This window comes from Homo sapiens, chromosome 5, assembly GCF_000001405.40.
Source record: "Homo sapiens chromosome 5, GRCh38.p14 Primary Assembly".
Classification (NCBI taxonomy): domain Eukaryota; kingdom Metazoa; phylum Chordata; class Mammalia; order Primates; family Hominidae; genus Homo; species Homo sapiens.
In genome coordinates this window covers 104,370,980-104,389,652 of record NC_000005.10, presented here as the reverse complement: position 1 = coordinate 104,389,652, position 18,673 = coordinate 104,370,980, and the positions used below count along the sequence as shown (strand labels likewise).

At 33.6% G+C, this 18,673-nt stretch overlaps 1 annotated feature.

Annotated features, from left to right (window-relative positions):
* Positions 16,401-17,600: an enhancer, noted in NCBI's record as "BRD4-independent group 4 enhancer chr5:103707754-103708953 (GRCh37/hg19 assembly coordinates)". NCBI's record gives its function as "activates an origin of replication core promoter dependent on BRD2, P300/CBP, MED14 and CDK7 cofactors, and independent of BRD4, by STARR-seq in HCT116 cells {active_cell/tissue: HCT116}" and the evidence as "EXISTENCE:reporter gene assay evidence [ECO:0000049][PMID:35650434]".

Here is an 18,673-nt window from a genome sequence, read left to right as displayed (position 1 = left end):
CTACAGTTGATAGATTTTCAAAACACTTTGTAGGACATGGTGTTCTTTACAAATATTATCAACAAAACATCAAGGGACACTAGACTATATCTATAATGTATCACCAATCATAAAGGAAAAATATAAAACAAAGGTGATATGATTGATGCAGAGCCAATATGTCAGTACTGCAATTGCACATTGAAGAGACAGAATATACAGGATTAATAATTTATTCAATAAAATCAGGAATGGTTTTCTAATACTTAACTCTTGTATTTCACAACAATCTTCTCCTCAAGTACTGGATTTTCATTCATATTCTTGTAAAACTTTCAATGCTATTTTGTGCTAAAGTACTACTAATATGTATTTGTGTTTCAAATAGTCCCAATGAAGTTATGCAGGATAATTATTGTGACTAAGTATTTCATAAATGTCAGGCTTTCTTCCAACCTTGACTACTGCCCATAGTGCCCTCCAGTAATGGTGATAACTGATTTTTTAAAGTACCCATGAATTTCTAGAATGTTTACTAAAAGATGTCTGCTGCTCCAATCATTGAGAATGGTTGAGATAGAGCCCATATGTGGCAGGGTATATTATCCTCAGAGGCATACCCCACCAGACACGCCTTTCCATATCAAGTTCCTGGAATGGGAAAGAGGGAAGAGTAGAGTAAATTATGGCACTACGTTCAGTGCATGTTTCTGGAGCTAAGGTTGAAGTCTGCACCTAGGAAGAGAGGAGAAACTAAGATTTAAATCAACTTTGAGTTTAGCATTGTAAACATATAGATTATTACAGTTGAACAAGAAAAGATGAAATCTATCAAAAATGTTATTAATCAATAAAAAGTGGTGATTCCACAAAACACAATTAAACACAATGATTGGAACAATTGTTTCTTCTTTATTCATCACTATATTGAAACTGTTCAAAATAGTTACATTAGTATGAACTTAATCATTAAATTATGATTTGGTCAGATATTAGATGGGAATAGCGCTAAATCCATTAAAGTACTTTAAGTCATTCATTTTGCCTTACAAGAAACTTTTATATTGAATAATGTGCAGAGATGACTCCTATATTTATTGATTATATCAGGAGCTATAGGCACTTTGCATACACTATCTTTCAGCAATTTCAAAGAACCCCATCAAGTAGTCTTTATTATCGCCACAAAAACTGAGACACAGAGCACACTGGTAACATTCAGGATTATATAACTAATATGTGACTGATTGAGTTTGACATTACAATTATTGTTTCTTTATCTAAAATGTCAGTCAAGTTGTCTCTCATGTTCAACTCAAAAATTTAAAGATATTCTTGTGTCCCTGAGAAAATTTACCCACTTGACTAAAGAAGACACAACAAATTATTTTCTTTTCTGGTACTTCTACACCATGTAATTTACGAAGTAGAAAAAACACTTTCTGAAATTTTAGTTCAGGGACCAAAGTTTACATTTATGCTACCATTTCATATTTCCAATATGGAAATTTCATCTTAAAGAATCCTATCACAATAAAAATACTTCACATGAAAGTGGTTGTTATTGAGAAAAAATGAAGTTTAACCAATAGTACAGAGATGACTGTATTTCCATTATGATGAAGTGATAATTCAAACACAAAAATTCATCTTAACTGCTCTACCTGATCTGCATTACATGGCTCTTAAAAATACTCTACTCTTACCAGAAGTAAAAGGAGGGAAGAAATAGAGACATATAAGCAATTTTTTACATGCATAAATAATTACACAGCAAATATAATTTGGTCAGTTTATATATATTTTATATTACTGATATCATTATGTGTAATACAGTTTAATATTAATATATATTTAAGTGAGAAATTGTGGCCATCAATATAAACAGTAAAACGAGATTTGAATTTATTGCTTAACATGGTATCAGATAGCTTTATATAGAAATAGAAATATTTCCCTAAAAATTGACCCATAGGTTTATGTGGGAATCTCATGAACTTGCATTCCCAGACTTAGATTACATAAAATATATACATAAAATAATGTTTTATTTTCTTTCTTGTATAATAACAATGATGTCTCATTGGTGTTAATAAAGTATTTACTTTAGAAAAAAAGGAATTTCTACTCCACACATCAAATTTTGTTTCAATTTCAGTTATTCTGCATTAAGAGTAATATTGCTATCAATTTATGCTACACTTCTCAAAAATTTATTCCTGACCGGGCTCTGTATAGCATACTATTCAGAATAAAATTTTTAAAGTTTTAAAGCCAAGGATGTATTGAATAACTACAAATACTGACTACTCCAAAAAATTGTCATTTCAAAATTAAGTGTAAGTGATGACTCTCAGCTCACAGTCTAGTGAAGAGCAAGGTGTCCCAAGAATAATGTGCTTAAATAAATGCCTTTAGTGTTTATGTGACTCATTATCTTTTCCTCCTTTTTAATTAATTAATGAAAATTAATTAAAGTATCGCTGTTTATTTTATACCGTAGAAGTGGAATCCTTCAGACTTAAGATGATGTTGTCCAACAAATTCTGATTTTTCTTGATGACGGGTAGGTAACAGGGAACTCTTCCTTATATTTATTTAGATACTGCAACTATAGGAAAAATGTTTTAAATAAGACAAAAGGAAGCAAAACTACAATTAGAAAACAGTAGAAGATAGCATGTGGAGTTGAAGAGCTCACAAGGAACGTATTATCTGTGGGAACACAATTAGACATAACTTAAGAAATATGCATGCAATGTAGAATTATTTTTGCCAACTAGCTAGTTTGGGTTAATTATCCAATAGAAGATATCTGGATGTCTAGAAAAAAAAATCAGTCCAAATCATGAAGGAATTAAATAACTAAAAAGATAGCCAAGAATTACTGGACCAGAATCCATGGAAATATAGAGGTGTTCACTTGCCATTCGATTCATTATGAACTAATTAATGCTTAGTGGCCTAAAACAACAACCATTTTATTATGTCTCCCAATTACCCGAATCAGGAATTATAGCATCATAATTTTTCTGTTCCATGTGGCATAAAACAACAATATGGCTGGGTGATTAATTTGTTTCACCTGGCCTTGACAGCGGTCGCTTGATGTTATTTAGCTGGATGATAGGCTACTCTTGAGGATTCAAGAAAATCATCTTCTCTCACTTGTCAGGTGCCCTGGTTAGGATGTATGGATGGCTGGTAGCTATTGGGACTATTGACTGGAGTGTCTAATATAGTCTCTCTTGCATGATGGATTTGGATTGTAATAATTTTATAAAGCAGCTCAGTCTCCAAAAGTGACTGTACCAGCTGACAAGATGGACAGGATGACATTTAATTAACTAGCCTGAGAAGTCATGTAGCTCCACTTTCCTTTATATTTTGTCAAATAGTAATGACAAACCTGCCCAGATTCAAGGGAAACAGAAAAAGACATGTTTTAAAAGAGTAAACATCAAAATGTTTGAGATAATGTCTTAGAACTACTAAGCCTTAAACAGCAGCCAAGTTATGTGATCCTACAGTCTGGGCCCTTTCCTGTTAAAACCACCGGGTCATTGTGCAGAAGGCTGAGACGTGTCACATGTCAGACAGGTTCACAGACATTGCACATCATGACCCTTCTCTACTTCCAAGAAGTAAGAGTAAATCAAACAGACCAGCTATCCACAGTGATGAAATCTAGCTTCAAATGATCTCAATCCCTGATTTTGAATTAAAGAAATACTGCGTCACTAATACTGAAAATTAGAAAATGAAAGGTAAGAAGTCAATACATACATTTTGCAGTATATTAGACACAGCTAAAGAGAATATAGGTCAGAAGAAAATACACAAAATGAAAAAGAGGCACAAATGGTTGGCAGATAGAGAAGAAAAGATAAGAATCTCAAAGGATTTAGTAATAAGAGGTAATATTGTGGTCATTTGAATTCTAGATAGTGGTGAAGTAAGAAAGAATCAGAAGCAATATTCGAAGAGATAAGACTAACAATTTACTAAAGTAGATTACAGATGTCCACAAGGTAGGAAATTTATAACTGAGATATGGAAAGAAACATACAATTTGGCATATTCTGCATAATGACTGTAATAAAAGACAAAGAGAAAATTTTAAAAGCAGCCAGGGACAAATAACATAACAAGGTATCTTCAAATGACTGAAACCTAGACTGAAATTAATTCATTAAGAGAAAAAAAAAAAACACAAGCCAGAAACAATGAAATGTTAATCTTCAAAATTCGGAATAAAAAGAAAACCTCCTCATCTGGAATTCTATATCTAGTAAAAAATCCATAGGTAATGAAAATGTAAAGTAAATAAAGATAAGGGAAAAGAAAAAGAAAATCTGGAATAATTTATTATCATCAGGTTTGTACTAAAAGATATTCTAAAGGGAGTTGTTCAGGCGGAAGGATATTGATCACACAGGAAGCTAAAATAGAGAAAGAAAGGAAAAGTAATGAAGAGTAAATATGTGGTAAATATAGCATTTATTGTCAAAATATTTAGAAGAATAAGTAGGAAGAGGAGGGAAGAGGAGATGGAAAAGGAGAAAAGGACTCATAAGAAAAATGCATAATTTTAAAGCTAATAGGCAAATGAATAATAAAATATGTTGCAATCACTAAGATAGTAAAACATACAAAGAATGGGTGAGAACCACAAAAGAGAAAATTGAATAATGTATCCGAAAATGTAAACTTTAAACATTGATTAAACAAACATAATATAACACTTATATGATAGATAGGGTTGAGGAAGAGTGTATGTGTGTGTGTGTGCATGCGTGTGTGTGTGTGTAATGCTGAGAGGAAATCAGTACACATATTTTTACTCTTTACCTATCCAAATAAAATCTTTATTTTTTTCTGTGCCTTAGTAAAGTGGTTCTCAAACTATTTTGTCTCAGATGCTTTTTCTTCTTAAATATTACTGAGAACCCCAGAGACTTTTTAAGTGTGAATAATATTTATTAATATTTACCAAAGTTATAGCTGAGAAAATTTTAAAATATTTCTTATTTTAAAAATAATAATCTTTGTTATTGTGAATAGTGCTGTGATTAACATATGAGTGTGTGTGTCTTCTTGGTAGAACAATTTATTTTCTTTTGAATATATATCCGGTAACTGGATTGCATTGAATGGTGATTCTGTTTTAAGTTCTTTGAGAAATCTCCAAACTGCTTTCCACAGTGGCTGAACGAAATTACAACCCCACCAACAGTGTATAAACGTTTCCTCTTCTCTGCAACCTCAACAACATCTGTTGTTTTTCGACTAGTTAATAATAGCCCTTCTGACTCGTGTGAGATGATATCTTATTGTGGTTTCTATTTGAATTTATATTATGATTAGTGATGGTGCCCATCAAAGGTGGACTGGATAAAGACAATGTGGTATATATACACCATGGAGTACTACACATCCATAAAGAAGAACAAAGTCATCCAGGCACAGTGGCTCACACTTGTAATCCCAGAACTTTGGGAGGCTGAGCGGGGGTGGATCATCTGAGGTCAGGAGTTCAAGACCAGCCTAGCCAACATGGTGGAACCCTATATCTACTAAAAATACAAAAATTAGCTGGGCATGGTGGCTCATGCCTGTAATCCCAGCTACTTGGGAGGCTGAGGCAGGAGAATCACTTGAACCCAGGCAGCAGAGGTTGCAGTGAGCCAAGATCGTGCCACTACACTCTAGCCTGGGAGACAGAGTGACTCAAAAAAACAAAACCAAAACCAAAACAAAACAAAACCAATAAAGACGAACAAAGTCATGTTCTTTGCAGTAACATGGATGCAGCTAGAGGCCATTATCCTAAGCAAATTAACACAGGAACAGAAAACCAAATACCACGTGTTCTCACTTGTAAGTGTGAACTAAACATAAGGTACTCATAGACATAAAGATGGCAACAATAGACAATGGGAACTGCTAGACAGGGGAACGGGGGAGGGAATCAAAGGCTGTAAAGCTGCTTATTGGTTACTACGCTAGGTACCTGGGTAACAGGATGGTTCATACCCTAAATCTCAGCATCACACAATAGACCCATGTGACAAACCTACACATGTAACCCTTGAATCTAAAATAAAAGCTGAAAAATAAATAAATAAACAATAATAATATACTTTCTAAATGGCATCATGAAAGACAGATCAAAATTTGTCTTCACTTCTTAGATTTCAGGTTGTATGTACCACTCCATGAATCATATTGACTCCAACACTTAATACAGTTGAGTTACGAACTTCTATTTATTTTCTTCTGAATTTTCAGACTTCCTTTGGCCTGGAGGCAAACTTAGGAGCTGCCTTTCAGTGTCATCTCAGGAGCATCCTTGAAAGAATCAGGGAAGAAAGTGCAGAAATCAGAGGACAGAAGGCAGCCATGTCAACAGCAACTTGGAAAGCACGTGGTTCCACTTTGCAGGCATTGAAGTCCAAGGCTCTCAAACACCATAGACCAGCCAGATCTCACTGATGGGATTCCACCCCTAAGTCAATTGTCAACTGGAGGGCTGCATGTGGAGGAAGAGAATTTCATTTATCCTAAGAATGACACATACAAGTAAAGCTAATATATCAACCACACTCAGGAGCTCTCTGCAAACCTGTAACATAAATGGATGTCTACGATGCTCAGACCACTCAGGACAGACCCATTGCCTTATAGTCATGGCAGGACAATGTACCTGCACAAAGTGACCATCATGATAGCCTGACTATCTGGACTAGTGCAGAGACAGCACACTCAAGACTTGCAGAGATGGCACACACTGGAGAGCAGAGTGGCTGGGACACAGGAACTGACTTCATTTATTAATTCATCAGAAAAGCTGAACCTCCTATATAAAGAAACTTTTATGCACAGTGTTCAACCTGGAAGATACAGAGTCTCACAGATATACCAACCACCCAGCTGGCTGAGGCCAAAGTGTGGGAACTTAAATTTCCCTCTTTTCTCACAAGTGTGATGGTTTGGAAGGTATCATGCATCCAGTAATAGGTATACATCTTAACGATACAGCTATGACAGATGAATACTCCAGTGTCGTCCACATTTGTATTAAGACACAGCCAATTTTCATCACACCAGAAAGTTTGCCTGCTCCATCCCAATGTTGCACAAGGAGCAGCCAGGTTTCATTTTCATATTTTAGCATAGATTTGGTTGCCCATTCTAGAACCTCACTGAAGTTAAATGATACAGTACATAGAAAGTAATAACAGTAATGAAATTATTAACATAAAGAAGTTTAGTTTTTGAAAATATACATGTGAAAAATAATTGTGGTTTTCAAAACAAAGAAACACAAAAACACTAATACAAAGTGTGACCTTATTTTGCATGTTGGCAATTCTCTTTCCTGCCTGGCTTAATTGAAAAAAGCGGAATTCTCACATTTGCTTCTGCTGTCAGTCTGTTGTGTAATTCAAGTCAGTGTGAGTTGGTAAAGCAGAGCTCTGAAGAAGAAGCCTTAATATCTAGTTTTGCTAATTTATTGTGGTGTGAATATTTATTCATGTCCGTTCAAAGTTATTAATGTGAAGTCACTGAAAGTGGACTTTAGAAAAGATATATACCCAGTTAGATAATTTCTTCACGTCTATCTCTGTTTACTAATTATCTCTTCATTTGTGTCTTCTGCTCTGATTCTATACACTGAACTCTTATTTGAAAAATGGAATGCATACATTTTAAGATATTCTATTATAATCTTTTCTTCAGATCTGCTTATTGCTAACAGTATTGTTGTTATTGTTTTAGTTTCATTAAATGCATTTTTAAGCTATATTTCTTTACTAAAAACATGGGAAAGTTCATTTTCTATATTATTACTGAAAATTGTAAAATCTGAATTTTTGCGGGGGTGGGACAGGAGATATGTTTGCTCCCTCTAGTATTTACTTTTTCACTCACAGGGCCTCGATTTCTTGTGTTTTTGTAGAATTTGTCTGCTACTTTATCTTTCATTGGGGAAATATTTGTGTAGATTGAGATTATTTGAGATCTGGAATGAAGATGCTTCCTCTACAGATGTTTGCTTATTTTAGGTGACTGATATTGTTTGGCTCTGTGTCCCCACCCAAATCTCATCTTGTAGCTCCCATAATCCCCATGTGTTGTGGGACGCACCTGGTGGGAGATGATTGAGTCATGGGGGCGGGTCTTTCCTGTGCTGTTCTTGTGATAGTTAATGGGACTCATGAGAACTGATGGTTTTAAAAATAGGAGTCTCCCTTGCACAAAGCTCTCTTTTTGCCTGCCACCATCCACATAAGATGTGACTTGTTTCTGCTTGCCTTCTGCCATGATTGTGAGGCCTCCCCAGCCATGTGGAACCGTAAGTCCAATTAAACCTCTTTCTTTTGTAAATTGCCCAGTATCGGGTATGTCTTTATTAGCAGTGTGAAAATGGACTAATACACTGACCAAGGACACTAGTAATTTAGGAATACCTTAAGTTAAATGGGTATCATTTTTATTACTGCCAGTGTGAATTTAGATGCAAATCCTCATGAGGGTTGCTTACTCTTATTTGGTTCTTAGGGAACTAGGGAATGATTACATTGCTAATTCACTATTAAACCTGAGGTAGCTGTTTTGGGTCTCAACTTCATACATGAAGAAATTGCTATTAAACTGAATACTTTGTGTTGACCCTAGGCTTAGTTTCATTTCCAGAATCAGGGAATCAGATATTTATGTTAAAAGATTATGTTAATTCTCCCAATAGAAAGCTAATTTTAGTACACCTTCCATTTACTGGGTCAATGCCTTCAACTGACTTTGGCTTGATAATTCTTTTTTTTTTTTTTTTTTTTTTGGTTAGTCAATTTATGCTTTAGAGACCTGAAAATATTAATTACTAATTTTAGTATTCAGGAAAAAAGTACACAAGGTGGTGTTGGAGCTTCTTGTAGCGCTAGAAAGTAGTAAGGAATTGCTAAAACACATAAAAGGTATATATCATCCACCTGATGGTTTTGATGCTGGGCAAGTGAGCCCCCAAACAGGGGCTTAGCCTGGAAGGGTTTTTAGATTCACCTAGGAAAGAATTCAAGGGTGAGCTGGTATGTTAGACAGCAATTTTTATTGAGGTGGCAGTGTGCAGCCACAGGTATTGCTCCTTGCACAGCAGGGCTACCCAATGGGCAGTGTGCCCAGAGTAGGAGCTCAGAGGCAGTTCTGTGGTTATATTTATACCCACTTTTAATTATATGCAAATTAAGAGGCAGATTATGCAGAAATTTTTAGAAAGATGGTGGTAAGGTTGTTGTTATGGAAAGGTGTGGTAACTCATGAGTGTTGCCATGGAAATGGTAAACTGTCATGGCACACTAGTGGGCATGTCTTATGGAAAAGTACTTCCACCCTATCCCTGTTTTAGCTAGTTCTCAATTTGGTCTAGTGTCCAAGCCCCACCTCCACAGTCAAGTCCTGCCTCCTGCTCAGTTTTATTGATGTGAAAATTAATCACATGAGTGAGATAGTGTTTGTCAGGATTCTTCACTGTAAAGTTACTCTTCTGTCCTTGATCATATACTAGTCTTTCAAAAGAAGGCCTTATATGCAGCTCACATTTAAAGAATAGTAGTGATGTCTTGAAGAGTAGATTATCCATGTAAATGTTTTGGGAATTTTTCTATGTAGGTTTGTCTCTCTGCTCCACTTTTTATTCTTTCAATCATTTATTAAAATAAGTGTGGAATCATGGGTATTTATTTTTATTTATATATTATTATAACAATTAGTATTGTATTGTTACAATCCAATACTAATTCATTTTCGTTCTCAGATTGTTCCAGCTTTTGCCATTGGGAGCTCTTTTAGTCAGCTCTGTTTCCCTCTGATACAGAGCCCTATCATTGTGTTTTTGTGTTTTTAGCAATTCCTTACTACTTTTTGGCATTACAAGGAGCTCCAGAGCCATCTTGTATACATTTTTCCTGAATACTAGAATTAGTATTTTTCCAAGAACTCCTAGTTCCTTCTATTGGGGAATGATTTTAGAAGTCAAGATTTGAATGCTAGAAATATTCATTGCTAGTACAGTGTCATTGCCTTTAGGCCCCCTCAGCCTACAGAGCAAGCAAATATATGTATATTACTCATATATATATATATATATATATATATATGTATACACACACACACAGACATATATCTCAGTCTATATATATATCTGCATTCATCTATATATGTATTAAGCTAAACATGAATTAATATTGATGCTTCAAATGCTATTCCATTACCAGATACATCATTAAAGCCTTCTTCTCTTTGACTATACCCTCCCACTCCAAATTGAAAACACTGCCTGCCAGAATATGCCAACCATTTACTTAATTATTGAAATCCAATATAAATATATTGTGGGCATGCAAATTTTTAAACCATAACCAATATCCATATTCTGAAGACTTGAAAATGTTTTTATCCTGCATTATTTGTCATTTAGAGATATATTATTATTAATTTATATTATATAAGTATTTTAGCTGACCCCTTTAAGCATTCTTAATAAAATACTCTAAAAATACTCTAAAACATATGGACTGAGGGAACAATGTTAACAAGGAGAGTACAGTGCTTATGTATAGTTTTCGTAGCCTTTAGTCCCTAGCTTTCTTCTTTGTAAGAAACTGCTGAACTGTCTTCCCAAGTGCCATGCCCACTTTTTAGGTTTAATTTTATTTTATTATTTGCATTCCCATTAGCAATAAATGAAATTTCATATTTCTCTGAATCCTTGGCAGCATTTGGTATTGTCAGTAATTTGGATTTTTGACATTCTAATAGGTGGCCTGTGGTATCTCATTGTAGTTTTAACTTGGTGAAAAAATGATGTTGAACACCTTTCCACATGCTTCTATATCATCTGTGTATGTTCTTTGGTGAGATTTCTGTTGAGATCCTTTTATTGCTTATTAATTAGGCTGCTTGTTTTCTTACTATGTAAGTTATAATCATTATTCCTGTACTTTGTCTATAAGTCTTTAATGTGTTTTGTAAATATTTTATCCCAGTCTATGGTTGTTTTTATTTTCTTAACAGTGTATTTGGGAGCAGAAGATTTTAATTTTAATAAAGCCCAGATTCTTATATTTTTCATGCATCATGCTTTTGATATTATGTCTAATAACTCATTAGCAAACCCAAGCTAACTTACATTTTTTTCCATATTAGCTTATAGAAATTTCATGGTATTGTATTTTACGTGTAGGTCTATGATCTAGTTTGGATTGATTTTTGTGCAAACTGAAAGGTTGATGTTTTCTTCTTTTTTATTTTTCTTCTTCTTTTTTGCATGTATATGTCCAATTTTTCCAGCAGTATTTGCGGAAAAGTCTGTGCTTTATCCATTGAATTGTCTTTATAAGGTGACTATATTTGTGTGGGTCTATTTTTGTGCTGTTCATTTTGGTCTATTGATCAATTTGTCTTCTCATTTCTCAAATGCCACATTGACTTGATTACTGCAGCTTTTACAGTAAGTATTGAGGTTTGGGTTTGGTTAGTCCTTTGACCATTCTTTAATATCGTTTTGGCTCTTCAGGACCTTTGAATTCTGTATTAGTTTGCTAGTGCTGCCATAACAAAATACCAGAGATTGGGTTGCTTTAAACAACAAAAATTAATTTTCTCACAGTTCTGGAGACTGGAAATCCAATATCAGGGCGTTAGCAGGTTTTGTTTCCCCTGAGGTCTCTTTTCTTGGTTTGCAGATGGGTATCTTCCTGCTGTGTCCTCACATGGCCATCTGTGCATGCAAATTCTGTTATCTTCTTCTAAGAACATCAGTCCTGTTGAATTATGGCCCCAGTTTTATGACCTCTTTTAACCCTAATCACCTCTTTAAAGGCCCTATTTCCAAATAAAGTCACATTGGCAGCAAGGACTTCAACAGATGAATATAGAAGGAACACAATTCAGTCCATAACAACTTTCTATATAAACTTTAAAATCTATTTATTGATATCTGCAAAATAACTTGCTGGGATTTCAACTGAGACTGAAAGAACTAACCTCTTAACATTAAAACTTTCTAATAAGTAACATTCCATATTTGGATCATTTTTAATTTCTTTCATTAGAGTTTTATACTCATATAGGTCCTGTATATATTAGATATATATACCAAAGTATTTCTTTTTTTAAATTCCAAATTTCAATTATCCAGTGCTGGTATATTACAAAGCAATTAAATTTCGTCTATTAAGCTTGGTTGTCCTGGATAGAAGTTTATTAATTTTATTGCTGTTTTCAAATAAACAGCTTTTGATTGCATTTAATGTCTTTCCTAATTTTCTATTTGCAATTTCATTGAATTTGCTTTAATTTTTACTATTCACTTTCTTCTTGATTTAGGCTTACTTTAGTTTATTGATATTAGAATTTTATTTTTTTCTAGTATATGTTTCCAATGCTATAAATTTTCCTCCAAAATCAGACTTTGTTGCATCCTACAAATTTTGGTAGGTGTATTTTTGGTTTTTCTCTAGCTAAAATTATTTTAAAGATTTTCTTGAGGCTATTTACTTGCCCTATGTGTTATTGAAACTATGTTGTTTCATTTCTAATTGTAGGGATTTTTAAATTTTTTATGTTATTGATTTCTAATTACTTATGGTGTGAGAGTTACTTTGTGCGGTTTTTATTATCTCAAATTTAGGAAGGTGTATTTTATGGCCAAGCATGTGATCTATCTTTAGAAGAGATCACGTGCTGTTCTTGGAACACTAGAAGCTGAGTTTCACATGAGCTTTAGAAGAATGTGTGTTCTGTTGTTGAATGAAGCATTTTGTAAATGACAGACACAGCTGATGGATTGTGTTATTTAGTTCATGTATATTCTTAATTATTACCTGATCTGTCAATTGCTGGTAGAGTAGTGTTGAAGTTTTCAACTATAACAGTGTATTTATCTATTATTCTTAACTCTTCTATCAGTTCTTATCTTATGTACTATGATTCTCTGTTGTTACATGTGTATAATCTAAGGATTGCCACATATTTTTTGGAGAAATGACTCCCTTATTATCATGTAATGTCTCTCTTTAATGTAAACTATTTTTTTCTGAATACTTTTTGGTTTGAAATTAATATAACTACTATAGCTTGTTAAGGTATTTCTCTCTCCATCCTTTTACATTTCACCTATTTGAGTCTTTGTATATGTATATATTTTTTGTTTGGTTGCTTTTTGTTGGAGAAACCATATAGTTGGGTCTTGCATATAGTTGGGTCTTGTGTGTTTATATGTGTATGTTATCAGCTATAACAGGTTCTGTCTATAGACCATTCCCATTTAAAGTTTTTATTTATATAGTTGGATTAACACCTACCATTTCTGTTACTGTTATTATTTTTTATTCACTGTACCTGTTGTACTTCTTTTTTTGTTTTTTGTTTTGCCTTATTTTTGGCTTCTCTGATTTTAAATGTGTATTTTATATGATGCCAATATATCTCCTCCATTAGCATATTAACTTTAATAAAAATATTGGTGCCTTAGATATATTTACAATTTTGCAAGATATATTTACAATTTAATTAATGCCACCTTCAATTAACACTATTCTGCATCACCTGTAGTAAAGTAACTTAGAGTATTTCCAATTTCTCCCTCCCACTGCTGTCATTTATTTTACTGACCTGCATGTTATATCACCCAATATATTGTTGGTATTATTATTTAAAGTTAACGGTTATTTTATGTAATTATAATAAAATATAATACTTTACCTTTATTTTTGCACATTATTTTTATTTCTTTTAATATTATGGTCAGCACACTTAACATGAGATCTATCCACTAAAATTTTATGTGCAAAATACAGTAATGTCTTTCTTATTTTCTTGTCTTTCCACAGATCTGAGTTTCTGACCTATCTCATTTTCTTTCTACATTAGGAATTTATTTTAATATATCTTATGGTGTAGGTCTACTGAGGATAAAATTTGCTTCTTCATTTGTCTGAGAATTGTCTTTATTTCTCTTTTAATTTTGAACAACAATATTCTTAAATGTAGAATTTTGGGTTGTTATGTTAGCTTTCTTTTTTCCTGTCAGCACTTTTTTCCTTCCTCTCTTTTGTCCACGTTGTTTCTGACAAGGAGTGTGCTGTAATTTATGTGCTAGTAACTCTGTAGGTAACATATCAACTTTCCACATCTAGCCTCTTTCACTATTTCCATTTTGCTTGGTTTTAGGTGGAATATGGTAAGCCTAGGGTTAGGTCTTGGTTATTGTTTTTGTTTTGTTTTCTTGCTTGCTTGCTATTTTTCTTTGCAGTTGTTTTGTTAGTTTGTTTATACTATTTGGTGTTCCCTGTATTTGCACTATTAGTTACTTCATGTTTGTCATTAGTTTTGGAAAATTCTCATATATGATAACTTTAAATATTTATTTTGCTTTATACTTTTCTCTCTTCTCTTTATAATTATATGTACATTACAACTTCTTTGGATACTGTCTGACAAGTTTTTGAAGTTCTGTTTCTGTTCCTTTTTAAAAAAATTATTTTCCTGTTTATATTTCAGTTTGGGAAGTTTCTATCAACCTATCTTCATCTCACTGACTCTCCAGCCATATATGGCATAATTACGGGCCCATTGACATATCTTTTCTATTATAACTATTTTTACTTATAAAATTTTATTTTTATTCTTTCTTAGAATTTCTATCTCACTTTTTACATTATTTGTTGATATCTACTTTTTTCAATAGTATGTATCTATAGTTATATATTTATTATTGTTACTTTAATTTTCCTGTCTGATAATTTCATTTTAATATTCTTTAAATTTAATTTTCCAGTTTTGAAAATAAAATCTTAAATAGATTTTGAGAGTTGAGCTGTAAACCCTTTTTCTTTCTCTTTCTCTCTCTTTCTTCTACTTTCCTCTCTTCTCTACTATTGAATGTCAATAGAGGCTCATAAAATAAATTAATATGGTTTTCCTGATCATTCTTTCTTCTCTTGCCTGTTACATTTATGTATTTTTTTCCACCTTCTAATGGTCCCTTTCTAATTTTTAGCCTACAGTACTGCCAGATATCTATGGCCATTCTTAGACTTACGGTTGTTATTAGCAATGAAAACGTTTTCAGTTCACAGTTGTAACTTCAATTTGGATAAATGTTGGGTGAATCACAAGGAAACATGAGAGCAGTAACAAAGGAAACTAGTGCAGCAAATCCTAAAACACATATTAGGACTGGCTACAGCTTCAGTGATAGTGCAGTCCTCTCAGCTTAAATACAACTAGAGCCTAAGAAGAAGAAGAACTTGCTGTTCCCACCATTACATCAGAATTTTTTTCTTATTTTATACCTTAATATTCACTTTTTCTTGTGAATTTGCATCTATCTCAAAAATGTATAGTATAGTTTTTCAGTATGAAACACTAGGTTATCTGCATCCAAAGTAAGAAACATGCACTATCAGCTTTGAAAGTGTTCTGCTTACAGGACAGTTTAAAAGAATCTGGTGGATTTGTTTGACTTTTTAGTCCTAGTTGCTGAAATTTAAGAATAAAATCATTGCCAAATAAAATAAATTAGCTTGTAATTATGAAATACACATGAGATGCATTGTTGTTGCTTTTAATTCAATGTATCTGTTCCCTTGGCATTTTTTTTTCCTGGAAAACAAAAAGGAGCTGTTAAAAGCATATGTGTATTAGATATGTTTTGTTCACTGAAATAATAAGACATCCAGTAAGGTTAATAATAAAAAATTGATGTAAAATAATTTATATTATAACTTAAAAATTTTATGTGGGTACATTATTCCTAAACTAAAATAAAGTTACATTAAGTTCTGACCATTACATTGTTTGAGTTGGTACAAATCATGACGATTCTCTTTTTTTTTTCTATCTATTTAAGGCAAAACATTTTTTGTGTGGGTCTACTTGAAACAGTGAATATACTGATATATTATTTTGTTTACTTTATTTTCTCTGCTCCTCCAGATAGAGATTATCCACTTAAGAATTAAAATACATTCACGTGTGAGATTATACATGTGCTTTTTCGTCCATTAGACTATAAGCCACAGTGGCAGAATCTCCCTGTATTCTTTTCTCTTGTAAATGTGTTCAGAAACTGAAAAAAAAGAATAATAATAAACAAATAAATTATTCAAATGACTAAATTTGATGAATGACTTCTGAGAAAATTACCTAAGCTCCAGAAGATTTTTTGTTTTGTTTTGTTTTTTAAGGACAGGGTCTTTCTTTGTCTTGCTCACTTTAACTTCCTCTTATGATGCTTAGCATAGTGTCATTGAGAGTGTCAAGCAATAATACCAGAGCACATGGACAAGTAAAAAAAAAAACAAAAACACTATATTGTTTTTCAAATCCAAGTTAGATAAGAATGAACTGTCACTAGCCATTCTCTTCATATTTCAATTTTCTATCTTAAAGATATTATGAAAACTAAAAATTATATAGAAACAGTCCATTGTTTCTTTTATTTGCTTTTTATGTTCTCAATGGGAAATTTTAGCAATTAATCTGACTTCCCAGACACAAGTTCACATATTTCTAAAAAAGAAGGAATTCGACCCCTTAATGATTATCATGTCTCTTTCCAACTTTAAAACGTTATGATTCTTAAGTCCACTGGTTATCTGAGCTATGTGTTCTGACTCATTACTTAACAAATTTACTTAACAAAACAGGGATGAGTTAAAGAAAGGAAATGTACTGTACCTTTTTACCCTTGAGAAATACATAGAAGCTCTGAGATTTATGCTTTTAAAAAGTGGTACTACATTTAAATATCTATCACAATTCAGAACTTAGGGATAGAAGTGCTACATTAAGTGGAAATGTGTAAATTGTGGAAATAATGTCCTTATTTTAGGTTTTTTGAAAGCAGTATAATAAAAGTGTTTCCCTGTCCTGACCTTTCATTACTAAAATCTGGGTGTATTTCCTGTTTAGTCTCAGAGGATGGGACATAAATCACTCTCCTTGGCATTTTGCGTGGTCTGCCATGCAGGCAGCCAACTTTTACAGATGTCCTTCCTGGCTTCAAAAAGCAGAAGCCCGCAGGTAGCAGAAAATGCCAGGTTTCTTCTCACGCCTGAGGAAGTTCTGTTTGCCGTGGAAGAAACCTGTGTGCTGTGATGAATGCCACTGTGCCGAGTCAGCATGGCGGACAGTTTAACTCCATGACCTTCCGCAGGTAGACAGCCTCCCTCGTAGATTGTCTTTGACGCAACCTATAACATCGAATGTCAACACCAGTCTCACAAGGGGGTTCTGTATTCATTTTACTGTGAGACAACTGCTTCTCAGTGTGCAGCTCAGGTACCTCACATTCTTCAAGAATATTTCTTATACCTTATTCTTGTTTTCATTAGTCCTATATACATAAAAACTTCATTTATGAGAGCTTTCACTGGGTTACTCTTGTTCTGTCGCTTTACATCTCAAGTGAGTCACGGCCTAGGACCTAGTTTCTAGAATCAGCTTGTGAAAAGATTGTTAAGTGTTATCATTACATTTTCTATCTTCATAGTCAATGGAAAGCTCCTGATTCCATGACTGTGACTGTTTCTTATTTAGTTAAAATAAGTGAATCTTGTTCCATTCAAGTGTCAACAACTGATATGGAGAAAGAAAGAAGAGGAACCACACTTGGAGGAAGTTGATGGGTAAAAGGTAGCTGCTGGCTGGGCGCAGTGGCTCACACCTGTAAACCCAGCACTTCGGGAGGCCAAGGCGGGCAGATCACCTGAGCTCAGGAGTTCAAGAGCAGCCTGGCCAACATGGTGAAACCCCGTCTCTACCAAAAATACAGAAAAAAAAAAAAAAAAAGTAGCCAGGCATGGTAGCAGATGCCTGTCATTCTAGCTACCCAATCTCTACTAAAAATACAAAAATTAGCTGGAAAAATTAGCTGGCCTGGTGGCAGGCACCTGTAATCCCAGCTACTCGGGAGGCTGAAGCAAGAGAATCACTTGAATCCGGGAGGCAGAGGTTGCAATGAGCCAAGATCGCACCACTGCACTCCAGCCTGGGTGACAAGAGTGAAACTCCATCTCAAAACAAACAAACAAAAACAAAAAAAGAACGGTAGTTGCTGTAAATTAGAGTTCATCTTAACTTTTTCCACAGGAGAGAAATTATGAATCTTCAAGGCAATTTTTCCACTTTTTCTTTGTTTTGCCTAGCTTTATGATCTTTGTAATGGTTCCGAAAAAAATTTATTTTAAAATCATAGCAGACTCTATGCATTTTAAAAAGTTTCAGAAATCAAGATATTCAATTAAAAATACTAGTACCATTTTATTACTGAGTTATACAATAAAGTGTGAATTTATATATGAAACATTAGTGTAAAAAAGGAAACTCTCTGGAAATTCATGTTGAAAATTCACTGTACTTTTATGTATTTTAGAATACCCATCCAGGAGCCAACACAATACCTCACATGCTACATTCATTCAGCTCATCTTCCTTTCTTGCATTTTAGGTAGTGTATGCCCAGTCCTCTTTACTGTCATCTGCAAAACATGTTATTGCCTTTATATTATGGAGGGTGCAGACTCTCTGTCTTATACTCTAAGGTGAGGTTTGAAAAACTACATTTGATGATCCAAATTCAAATGCTACTTATTTTTATAAAGAAGATATTATTGGAATAGAACCATGC